The following is a 12,562-nucleotide window of genomic DNA, read 5'->3' as shown; positions in this document are numbered from 1 at the left end:
CTAGGTGCGGTGGCTCATGCCTGTGATCTGAGCACTTTGGGAGGCTGAGGTGAGTGGATCACTTGAGCCCAGGAGTTTGAGATCAGCCTGGGAAACATGGCGAAACTGCATCTCTACAAGAAATTTTAAAAATAGGCCAGGGGTGGTGGTGTGCGCCAGTAGTCCCAGCTACTTGGGAGGCTGAGGTGGGAGGATCGATTGAGCCCGGGAGGTCTGCTGCAGTGACCCATGATTGCATCACTGCACTCCAGCATGGGCAACAAAGCGTGGCCCTGTCTCAGAAAAAAGGAAGAAAGAAATGTGAAAACTCTGAATGCAAAGAAAATAATTAAGGAGAGAGGCTGTGCAGACAGGGGCTGCCCTTCTCACCAGACAAGCCCCATCCTGTTGTGTGTGTAATCATCACCCTGAGTTTCCTTAGCAGACTAACCTCCCAGCATGCCTTATTGGCTCCATGCACCAGGTGAACCAAAAGATTGCTGACATAAATCTGCGTACCGAGCCGTCGGCCAACAGCCTGGTGAGTTACCTATGCTGGAGCTGAGACAAAGCTTCTGACAGGGAAGGGCCCCGGGGATCATCAAGGTGTTGCAGTGCCCTGGGGCCTCTCCATTTATTTGAAAACATGTTTACACAATTGAGTATTCAAAGTTAATTTTTTTAAAAATTAATAAACATTTTTTATTTTTTTTTGAGATGGAGTCTCGCTTTGTTGCTAGGCTAGAGTGCAGTGGCACAATCTCGGTTCACTGCAACCTCTGTCTCTTGGGTTCAAGCGATTCTCCTGCCTCAGCCTCCCGAGCAGCTGGGACTACAGGTGCGTGCCACCATGCCCAGCTAATTTTTGTATTTTTTAGTAGAGACGGGGTTTCACCATGTTGGCCAGGATGGGCTCGCTCTCTTGACTTCGTGATCTGCCCGCCTTGGCCTCCCAAAGTGCTAGGATTACAGGCGTGAGCCACCGCGCCCGGCCAATAAACTTTATTTATTTATTTTTGAGACAGAGACTTGCTCTGTCGCCAGACTGGAGTGCAGTGGTGCGATGTTGGCTCACTGCAACCTCCGCCTCCCTTTCAAGTGATTTTCCTGCCTCAGCCTCCCGAGTAGCTGGGACTACAGCCGTGTGCCACCATACCCGGCTAATTTTTTGTATTTTTGGTAGAGAAAGGGTTCCACCATGTTGGTCAGGCTGGTCTCAAACTCCCCACCTCAAGTGATCCACCCACCTCAGTCTCTCAAAGTGCTGGGATTACAGGCGTGAGCCACCACGCCCGGCCTAAACTTTATTTTTTAGAGCAATTATAAGTTCACAGCGAAATCGAGCAGAGAGTACACTTTTTTCATACACCCTCTGCTCCTGCGCATGCACAATCTCCCCCACTGTTGACATTCCATAAGATAGTGGCACATTAGTTAGAATTAACGGACCTACATTGTTACATCATCATCACTCGACATTCAGAGTTTACAATAGGATTCTTGGTGTTGTACATTCTACGAATTTGGACAAATGATGACATGTATCTACCATTGTAGTGTCACACAGCATAGTTTCGCTGTCCCAACAGTCCTCTGTGCTCCACCTGTTCACCTCTTTAATGACATGTATCTACCATTGTAGTGTCACACAGCATAGTTTCGCTGTCCCAACAGTCCTCTGTGCTCCACCTGTTCACCTCTTTAATGACATGTATCTACCATTGTAGTGTCACACAGCATAGTTTCGCTGTCCCAACAGTCCTCTGTGCTCCACCTGTTCACCTCTTTTTACTCCCTAACCCCTGGGAACCACTGTTGTTTTTACTCTCCCCAGTTTTACCTTTCCCATAATGCCATATAGTTGGAATCATATAGTACGTAGCCTTTTTACGTTGGCTTCTTTCACTTAGTATGCTTTTTAGTTTCCTCCACATCTTTTTTTTTTTTTTTTTTTTTTTGAGATGGAGTCTCACACTCTCGTCCAGGCTGGAGTGCAGTGGCGTGATCTCGGCTCACTGCAAGCTCTGCCTCCCGGGTTCACACCATTCTCCTGCCTCAGCCTCCCGATAGCTGGAACTACAGGCGCCCGCCACCACGCCAGGCTAATTTTTTGTATTTTTAGTAGAGACGGGGTTTCACCATGTTAGCCAGGGTGGTCTCGATCTCCTGACCTCGTGATCCGCCCGCCTCAGCCTCCGAAAGTGCTGGGATTACAGGCGTGAGCCACTGCGCCTGGCCAGTTCCCTCTGGGAACAACCCATCTTTTCATGGCTTGATAGTTCATTTCTTTTTAGTGCCAAATATTCCATTGTCTGAACGTACCATGGTTTATTTGTCCACTACTCAGGGACATCTTGGTTGCCTCCAAGTTTTGGCAATTACAGATAAAACTGCTGTAAGCATCCATGTCCAGGTCTTTGTGTGGGCATAAGTTTTCACTTCATGTAAGTAAATACCAGGGAGCACAATTGCTAGATCCTATGGTGAGAGTTTAGTTTTGTAAGAAACCGGCAAACGCTCTTCCAAAGTGGTGTTAACATTTTTCCTTCCCACCCGCAGTGGATGAGGGTTCTTGCGGCTCCACGTTCTCACCAGTATTTGGTGTTGTCAGTGTTCTAGATTTTGGTCATTCTGATTGCTGCGTAGTGGTATCCCATTGCTGTTTTAGTTTTCATTTCCCCAGGGACATCCGTCTTTTTATGTGCTTATTTATAGTCTGCAGATCTTCCTTGTTGAGGTGTCTGTTCAACCTTTAGCGCCAACCCCCACCCACTATTTTTTTTTTTTTGAGACAGAATCTTGCTCTGTCACCCGGGCAGGAGTGCAGTGGCGTGATCTTGGCTCACTGCAACCTCTACCTCCCAGGTTCAAGTGATTCTCCTGCCTCGGCCTCCTGAGTAGCTGGGATTACAGGCACCCACCACCACTCCCGTCTCATTTTTTGTATTTTTAGTAGAGACTGGGTTTCACCATGTTGGCTAGGCTGGTCTCGACCTCCTGACCTCAGGTGTTCCACCCGCCTCGGCCTCCCAAAGTGCTGAGATTACAGGCGTGAGCCACCATGCCCAACCTTTAGCCCATTTTTAAATCAGGTTATTTTCTTATTGTTGAGTTTTAAGATTTCGTTTAATATTTTGTTTTGGGTTGTTTTTTTGTTTTTGTTTTTTTGAGACGGAGTCTCACTCTGTCACCCAGGCTAGAGTGCAGTGGTGCAATCTGGACTCACTGCAACCTCCACCTCCTGGGTTCAAACGATTCTCCTGCCTCAGCCTCCCTAATAGCTGGGATTACAGACATGTGGCACCACGCCCAATTAATTTTTGTATTTTTAGTAGAGACAGGGTTTCACCATGTTGGCCAGGCTGGTCTCAAACTCCCGACCTCAAGTGATCCGCTCACCTTGGCCTCCCAAAGTGCTGGGATTACAGGCGTGAGCCACCACGCCCGGCCTCTTTGAATATTTTGGGTAACAGCCTTTTGTTGGATTTTCTTGCAAATATTTTCTCCTAATATGTGACTTGTCACTTCATTCTCTTGACAGTGTCTTTTCACAGAGCAGAAATTTTTAATTTTAACGAAATCTAACTTATCATTTCCTTCATGGATTGTACCTTCTGTGTCATATCTAAAAAGTCATGGCCAAACCCAAGGTCACCTAGGTGTTCTCCTCTTGTCTTCTAGGGGTTTTATAGTTTTATGTTTACATTTGATTTTGATTCATTTTGAGTTCATTTTTGTGATGGCTGGAGTTTTTACCTCTCAGGGTGTCTACACTGAGCCTCCAGAATTCATTTATGACAGTTTTGGCTTTGCTACTGGTTCCCATGGAGGTTTCTGCCCATGGGTTTATTCTCCTGCCAGTTGGCATTCTCTGTATCTACCTACCTGTCTGTTCAGTTTTCAGGCAGTAGTTTGCCCTGTGACCTCACTTCTCTGAATGATCTAAGAAGAGTTGTTGATTTTTCAGTTTATTCAGCTTTACTTATTATTGGGACAGAATGGTGACTTATGAGATCCTTACATGTGGACCTGAAATGAGAAGTCTGAAGGTTAATTTTGGTACATTTTTATTGGGAAAAAATACAAACCCTTCAATAATTCTCAAACACACGCGCACACACACGTGCGCACACACACACACACACACACACACACCTTTTCGGGAGGCAGGAGTGCTAAATGTTAAGCAAGTAGCTGTTGTGTAGCAGGCTCCCACAAGATGGAAGAACACAGGCGTGAATCATCTGTAAGTGTCTTTTTGGCTATTTTGGGTTTTGGCAATGTCGTGTATTTGTTTCTTATTTTTAACTGCACTTAAGAAATCTGAGGCATAAATCTAAAGAGCTCTAAGATATGGAGATAGAGAGATTTGAAAATGAGAGCAGCAAAGAAATGTCAACCAACAAGTCGCTACTAAAGACCTGCTTCTCGATGGTGGCTATGAGGCAGAGGATTACAATGATGAAGATGTACTCTTTGAGAGATCCTGTGAGCTGCAGGCAAGTTCGCCTGCAGGTTTTTCTCTCTTTGTTTTGTTTTTTTTTTTTTTTTTGAGATGGAGTTTCACTCTTGTCGCCCAGGCTGGAGTGCAATGGTGCGATCTCAGCTCACTGCAACCTCCGCCTCCCAAGTTCAAGCAATTCTCCTGCCTCAGCCTCCCAAGTAGTGGGATTATAGGCACGTGCCACCACGCCCGGCTAATTTTTTATTCAGGAGCCACTATAAATGCATAAAAAATTCAGGACCCAATGCAGACCCAGGAAATAAGCATCTCTAATGCAAAGGCCCGGGAATCTGTGTATTTGAATACTTCCCCAAAATGCCGGTCATTGGTCCGGTTTGGGAGTTGCCTTCCTGGAGAACAGCCCTGCTTGTAGGCCCTGAAGTCATCTCAAAGGTAAACTCAGCCCAGTGCTGGTCTTACCATCTTTCCCCCCAAAACTTGCTCTTCTTTCAGCATTCAACTATCCTTTCTCTCCCCTCTTTCTGTGCAAATCTTATCCATCCTTCCAGGCCATACAGTGTCTGCTATAATGACATTGGTAAAGATCAGAGATATTGCTATATTGCTACAGTGACTCATACCCATCCAATTCATTCCTCATGCCTTAAATTTCAGCTTACTTAATTGGAGCAACAATGTTAATACATAGACTAACCCCTGTGACCGCCCCCCCACCACTGGCACACACACATACACACACCCCTGCACACATGCCCAGTACCTTTCACTCATGCAGACCAGGGAGTGCTGATGCAAGGGAAAGATGGGGGAGGCCTGGAGAGGTATTTCCCAGTTTATCAAGCTCAGGAGCCTGATGCCACCAACACTCATGTCCACCTCTTCTGGACAGTCCTCTGTGACTGCTCTGGCCCACGTTGACCTCACTTTGATTCGTAATCACAGCAGTTTAGCATTTAATTGTTCCACGAGTGCTGATTTGGCTCTCCAAATAGAGTGTAAGTCCCTTGAGGGCAAAAACACAGACTCATACTTGTTTGTTAACTTTGTTATCCAAGCTCATTGCTGGACTCTTGGTTGACAATCAATGCAACTTGGGTCACTAGCATTCATTTTTCTGTCTTCCTTTTCAGGGGCGTAGGAGGATGGGGGTGGGGAAGAGTCAGAGATCAAGAGAAGTCTCTCTTGAGAGGTCAAGGGTAGATAATAGAGACCCCTTATTGAACAGCTCCTATCTGGTAGCCTCTTTGCCAGTGTTTTAAAATACATTAAACACTTTATTTTTGACCCTTATAAGAACCCTAGAAGAGGCTGGACGTGGTGGCTCACACCTGTAATCCCAGCACTTTGGGAGGCCGAGGTGGGCAGATGAGGAGGTCAGGAGATCAAGACCATCCTGGCTAACACGGTGAAACCCCATCTCTACTAAAAATACAAAAAATTAGCCGGGCGTGGTGGCAGGCGCCTGTAGTCCCAGCTACTCGGGAGGCTGAGGCAGGAGAATGGGGTGAACCCAGGAGGCGGAGCTTGCAGTGAGCCGAGATTGCACCACTGCATTCCAGCCTGGGCAACAGAGCGAGACTCCGTCTCAAAAAAAAAAAAGAACCCTGGAAGATAGATATTATTATCCCCCTTTTACAAAGAGATTAAACAATAGCTTGTTTAATTTCTAATTCCTGCTCTAAATCACATACTCCTAGAAGAAGGGGCAGTGTGAGACAGTGGGGACACTCTGGGGGATGATGTCAGTGACACTGAGGCCACCAGGACCTACCACCTGGAAAGACAAGGCACTGTCCACAAACTTTGCTCCAGGTCTTTTGTGCACCAACAAGAGGAAACGCCTAGACCCTAACCCCACCCTTCTCCAGGATTTGCATTAATCCCTAATGCCCCCCTTTTTCTTGGTTTTTGAAGGCAATTGAGAGATTTGAGTTGGAGAAGAAGGCTTTAAGAGAGAAAACTCGCAGCAGTCCAGAAGACAAAGGCAAAAACCTTTCCCTCAGCCTTGATGCTCTTTTCATGGGGTTTGTTTTTTTAGTATCTAAAATGCAACTGAGTAGGAATCCCAAGTTTCAGATGAGGATGTTTCTGTCTTCTTCTGAAGGAGCCTTAAATCTGACTTCTTGACATTGGGCAAGGAAGGAGGGAGGGGCAGTACCATTTAGAGACCACCTACATGTGGCACCAGGTGCTTTTATCCACATTCCCTTGGTTTTTTTTTTTTTTTTTCGAGACGGAGTCTCGCTCTGTCTCCCAGGCTGGAGTGCAGTGGCGTAATCTCTGCTCACTGCAACCTCCGCCTCCCGGGTTCAAGCAATTCTCCTGCCTCAGCCTCCTGAGTAGCTGGGATTACAGGGGCTCGCCACCGTGCCTGGCTAATTTTTGTATTTTAGTAGAGATGGGGTTTTACCATGTTGGCCAGGCTGTTCTTGAACTCCTGGCCTCAAGTGATCCGCCTGCCTCAGCCTCCCAAAGTGCTGGGATTACAGGTGTGAGCCACTGTGCCCGGCCCCTTGTTAAATTTTTATAACACCTGGGAAGTAGGTACCATTTAATATATTTTATAGATGAGGAAACAGCCTTGGAGGGAGGGGAGTAACTTACCTAAAGTCACAGTCTGTCTGCTCCTCCTTGCTGCTTCTCTGGATCAAGTGGTCTAATCAGATAAGTCGGCAACACAGTTGGGACCTATGAGACTAGTAGTAGGAGTGTCCTCTGGCAGCTCAAGTGGAATGAAAAAGCACAGTTGTAAGCACCGCACAGCTGTGGACAGACCCTGTGGTTACTCATTTATCTCTTTCTCCATTTTTCTGCAGTCAAGAGACAAAGGAAATCTCAGTATTCCTGCAAAGGCTCCGAACTCAGACATGCCAGATCTTCTGTTATAAAAAGGGTAAGGGATCTACTGCTGTGTCTGTTTCTGACCGGCTTCTGCTAGGCATGAAATAAAGATTTTATTCCTGGGGAGGAGAATACTTGGTGCCTGGGTAGTGATTATGAAGGAAAAATCGCAGAGCTCCTGAATCTAGAATTTCTCATAACACCCTTACAACAGCAGAGCTGACCCCAGCCTCAGAATAGGGAAGGTGACAGAGGTCATGTGTCTGTTTATTTTTAGAACTTAGAAGGTGTCTCTGCTCAGAGATGTTCAGGTCTAATCCAGAGCCACTGTGCCATGCAGCTTCAAGGGGCTGTCCACACTGCAGGCTCCTGTGCAGCTGCTCTGAGTCACACCCCATGCTAGTTGTACCACTGCAGAGTTGCTGCGGATGCCTCAGGAAGCTGAGATTCAGGAGCAGAAGGTGACTTGTCACAGGGTCATGCAGCTCACTGATGGCAGGCCCCACTTCCTGCTCAGTCCTCTGACTTGAGACAGGCTCTCCCCACTGCCTCCCCTGCAGCAATCTGGCCCCACCGCACAGCCCCCCATTTCAGATCCTCCTTGGCTTGTTCTTTATTTCTTTTTTTCTTTTTGAGATGGGGTCTCTCTCTGTCACCCAGGCTGGAGTGCAGTGGCACGATCTCAGCTTACTGCAACCTCCGCCCCCAGGGTTCAAGTGATTCTCCTGTCTTAGCCTCCCAAGTAGCTGGGATTAAGACATGCACCACCACACCTGGCTAAATTTGCATTTTTGGTAGAGATGGGGTTTCACCATGTTGGCTAGGCTGGTCTCGAACTCTTGACCTCAAGTGATCTGTCCATCTCAGCCTCCCAAAGTGCTGGGATTACAGGTGTGAGCCACCGTGCCCAGCCCTTAGCTTGTTCTTTACACTGCCTAGGTCTTAAGTATCCAAACCTTTAACTGCTAGGGAATCTGAAACAGTATGTTGTTCTTATCCTTCTTAACACCTTTTAGCCTAGGAAATTCCAAAACAGCACAAGGCCTAAGGGAGGTGTGGGTCTGCATTGGAACTGTCATACAATCCATTGATGGTGGCTGAGCTAAGTGTCCTGCAAAGGTGGCACAGCCAGCACATGGCGGAGCTGCCACCTGACTGCAGTCATCTAACTCAGAGTCAGTGCCGTGAATCATGAACTGTTCTTTCATTGACCATGGCCAGAGCCCAGTTAGGAAGTCAGCTGGGCCATCCAGGTGTTTCAGTGGGCACCTTTGGGTGGCGGTAATTAGTTTCCTATTTTCCATATTTTTACATTTTTTATAGTCATCATGTTTTAGTTTTATCCTAAAAATCATTTAATGATATATATTAACCACAAAGATAGTAATATCCAATATTAGCATTTTAAGAAATTCACACTAAATAACCCCAAAGGGAGGGGAACTACATGCTCCAAGCTATTCGTGATATTAGTAGTAATTGGAAGTAATCAGTGAGTAGTTAATTAAATTATAGCACGTCTTAACAGGATATATCATCTTAAATGATAATTCTGAAGACAACATAACTACATGAAAATCTAAAGTGAAGTAGATAAAGCAGGACATAAAAATCACATATATATTTTACTTCTTAGAACGATCAAAGTCAGCCAGACGAATCATATATAAATCATATTACGATTGAAGTTACGTATTTGTGTTCGTGTACATTTCCTCAAATCATATAAGGGAAAACAGAAATAATGTAGATAGCACTTTAGGAGGCTGAGGCAGGTGGATCACCTGATGTCAAGAGTTCAAGACCAGCCTGGCCAACAGTTTTTAGTAGAAACCCTGTCTCTACCAAAAATACAAAAAATTAGCTGGGCATGGTGGCGGGCACCTGTAATCCCAGCTACTCAGGAGGCTGAGGCAGGAGAATTGCTTGAACCAGGAGGCAGAGGTTGCAGTGAGTCGAGATCATACCATTGCACTCCAGCCTGGACAACAAGAGTGAAATTTCGTCTCAAAAAAAAAAAAAAAAAAGAAATAATGTAGATAGGAGTTTGGAAGGGGTCCTAGGATCCTAAACACCCCTCATTTTCTCAACATTCTATAAGGTTGTTATATTGTCTTCATAATAAAGAGGGGAAGCTAGCCTATTGTTTCACACTGTCAAAATGTGAACCCCATTTTCATATTCTGCTCTTTTGCTTCAGAAAACAGCAGATAAAAATCTGCTGGCAGAGCTGTACCAGTATTCCAACTTCAACAGCTCCAAGCCAAACAAGCTTCCGAATGGCGTGGACTTCTGTGACATGGTGGGCAACGTGGTCCGGGCTGAGAGAGACTGCCTTAGTGGCAAGGTGAGGAAAAAGCAGTGCCTGCCCTGAGTTTGCCAACCCATGGGGCAAATGCAGCTGTCACCCTTTCACACCCCAGGAGAAACTGAGGAACTCACCTAGGGCCACAGGCTTGCAGGTGTCTGAGCTGAGCTAGGAACCCTAGCCCAACCTCACTGCAAAACCTAGATTCCTTCTACCAGAGCAACGGTCTTCAGACTGTTTTGATCACATATCCTACTGGTGTGCAATTTTTATCACAAACCCTCATTGAAACGTGTCTGTTTATAAATTATATACTTATTCTGTTGCCAATCACTACAATGCATATGAGTATGCTTAATCTCTCTTTTTTCTTTTCTTTTCTGTTTCCTTCTTCCCTCCCTCCTTCCTTCCTTTCTTTTTTCTTTCTTTCTTTCCTTCTTTCTCTCTCTTTCTCTTTCTCTCTTCTTTCTTTCCTTCTTTTTCTTTTTTCTTACTTTTTTGAGACAGGGTCTCCCTCTGTACCCAGGCTGGAATGCAGTGGCACTATCATAGCTCACTGCAGCCTCAAACTCCCAGACTCAGGTGATCCTCCCGCCTCAACCTCCTGAATAGCATGCACCACCACACTGGCTAGTTTTTAAAAAAATTTTTTTGTAGAGAGGAGGTCTTGCTAGGTTGCCCAGGCTATTCTCCAACTCCAGGGCTCAAGCCATCTTCCCCTCCCCATCCTCGGCCTCCCAAAGTGCTGGGATTACAGGTGTGAACCACTATGCCCAGCCAATTGCTTTTCTTTCTTATGTAGACATTAGTTAGAATATTTTCTTCTCATGCCTCTGGGGGTGAGTATGCTTCCTTGCAGAGCTGCGCACTAGAGCATGCTGGGTTCCTTGGGAAGAAAGCAAGGAAGTATTCTAAGGCCCAGAGGAACCTGTTTGCTCAGGCGACACAAACACTGGCAACTCTGGAGATGGGAGATCCTTGTAGGGAGGTCTTGGAGAAGGGAGGAAGCCCAGGAAATGGTCTCGGCCACTGTACAGCTGTGCCTCATGGCTCTTCATCACATAACTCTTGTCCCCAAAGCAGCTCTGATCATTGTCCCCTGAGCTCCTAACCAGTCACCCCACCATTCCTGAGACCCAGCATCTCAGTCTGTTCTACCTGTAGTTCTCACTGCTGCTTTGAGCCACACCCCATCTCTCTATCTCTGTCTCCCTCTCCTTCTCCCCATGCCCTTCCTTCCTTTTTTTTTTTTTTTTTTTTTGAGACAGAGTCTCGCTCTGTCGCCAGGCTGGACAGAGTGCAGTGGCGCGATCTCAGCTCACTGCAAGCTCCGCTCCCTGATTCAGGCGATTCCCCTGCCTGAGATTACAGGCATGTGCCACCACACCCAGCTAATATTTGTATTTTTATTAGAAACGGGGGTTTCACTGTTGGCCAGGCTGTTCTCGATCTCCTGACCTTGTGATCCGCCCGCCTCAGCCTCCCAAAGTGCTGGGATTACAGGTGTGAGCCACTGCGCCCGACCCCCTCCTCTCTTCTTCATGGCTTCTTCCTGCTGCCTTCTCTCTGGGCTATGTCGGTCCCATCTGTTTCTTACATTCGGACTTCCTAAGAGAGATGATCTGTTTGGGCCAGTCACTGCCCAGAATGACAGTGCTGTTTGCTGGCATGGCCTGCAGTCAGTCAGTGGAAGGGGCGCTGGTCTCTGGGCCTGGCAGCGGTGGCCCAGGTGTTGGGTACCTGATTCCCTTTGCTCCTGCTTTCCTCGGGAGAGGCAGTAGGAGGGACAGGTGCTCAGAGCATCACGTTCCCTACAGGACAGTGTACAAAGATGCTCACCACAGTGTTCGTTACAATAGCAAGGAAGTGGAAAGCAGTACATCTGGGTGGTTAAGCGCCTCTCTGAGCTTTAATTTCTTCTCCTGTAAAATGGAGATAAAATCAGTCTCTACCTTGAGGTGTTATTGTGAAATAAATAAGATAATGCATGTAAAGGTGCCTAGCACAGTGCTAAAAGTCATAAATTCTAAGAAAACGGTAGTTTGTATGATTAGTGTTATTAGAAACAGTTTAATGGTCAATAATAGAGGAACAGCATGGTCATTTTTGACATCTATATCATGGACTGTGTAGCCATGATAAAATGTGATGATAAAAGTGAATGTTTATAAAGAGTGTATGTTAACATTTCATGCTGTGTTGTTGAATGAAAAGTATCAGTATGGAAAACTCTCTACAATTCAATCTTTTTTTTTTTTTTTTTTTTTTGAGACAGAGTCTTGCTCTGTCTCCCAGGCTGGAGTGCTGTTGCACAGTCTCAGCTCACTGCAACCTCCCCTTCCTGGGTTCGAGCACTTCTCCTGTCTCAGCCTCCCTGAGTAGCTGGGACTACAGATATGCAGCCACCATGCCTGGCTAATTTTTTGTATTTTTAGTAGAGACAGGGTTTCCCCATGTTTGCCAAGCTGGTCTTGAACTCCTGACCTCAAGTGGTCCACCTGCCTCCGCCTCCCAAAGTGCTGGGATCACAGGTGTGAGCCACCACACCTGGCCAATAATTCAATCTATGTAAGTGCACACGTGGGAAAATTTTAAATGAAATACATAGATATTACCACTGGTCTCTGAGTTACAAGGTTATAAGATGATAGGCCGGGCACAGTGGCTTACGCCTGTAATCCCAGCACTTTGGGAGGCAAAGGTGGTTGGATCACGAGATCAGGAGATCAAGACCACCCTGGCCAATGTGGTGAAACCCTGTCTCTACTAAAAATACAAAAATTAGCCAGGCGTGGTGACACACACCTGTAATCCCAGCTACTCAGGAGGCTGAGGCAGGAGAATTGCTTGAACCCGGGAGGTGGAGGTTGCAGTGAGCCAAGATGGCACTACTGCACTCCAGTCTGGGGATATAGTGAGACTCCATCTCAAACAAACAAAAAAATATTATAGTTGTTTTCTTCCTTTTA

The 12,562-nt window shown here is 46.3% G+C and overlaps 1 protein-coding gene across 18 annotated transcripts in view; it reads left to right on the top strand.

Annotated features, from left to right (window-relative positions):
• The window catches only part of FAM227A (family with sequence similarity 227 member A), a 78,275-nt gene that overhangs the window by 10,310 nt on the left and 55,403 nt on the right, over positions 1-12,562 (top strand). For 9 of the 18 annotated variants that reach the window (XR_937892.2, XR_937893.2, NM_001013647.2 and 6 more), the window contains exons 3-6: positions 438-520; positions 6,359-6,428; positions 7,261-7,337; positions 9,486-9,632. Coding sequence is in view for 16 of the 18 variants with exons in the window: in NM_001013647.2 (NP_001013669.1) it covers positions 438-520; positions 6,359-6,428; positions 7,261-7,337; positions 9,486-9,632 (377 nt within the window). In the remaining 2 variants the exon portion in view is untranslated. Of the gene's footprint in view, positions 1-437; positions 521-6,358; positions 6,469-7,260; positions 7,338-9,485; positions 9,633-12,562 lie in introns of those variants that run through there. The other 9 variants (XM_047441459.1, XM_011530313.3, XM_011530312.3 and 6 more) reach the window with 5 other exon arrangements.

Source organism: Homo sapiens, chromosome 22 (genome assembly GCF_000001405.40).
Source record: "Homo sapiens chromosome 22, GRCh38.p14 Primary Assembly".
NCBI classification, from domain to species: Eukaryota; Metazoa; Chordata; class Mammalia; order Primates; family Hominidae; genus Homo; species Homo sapiens.
Note: the sequence above shows the minus strand (reverse complement) of the source record. Positions and strands in the feature narration are given on the sequence as shown.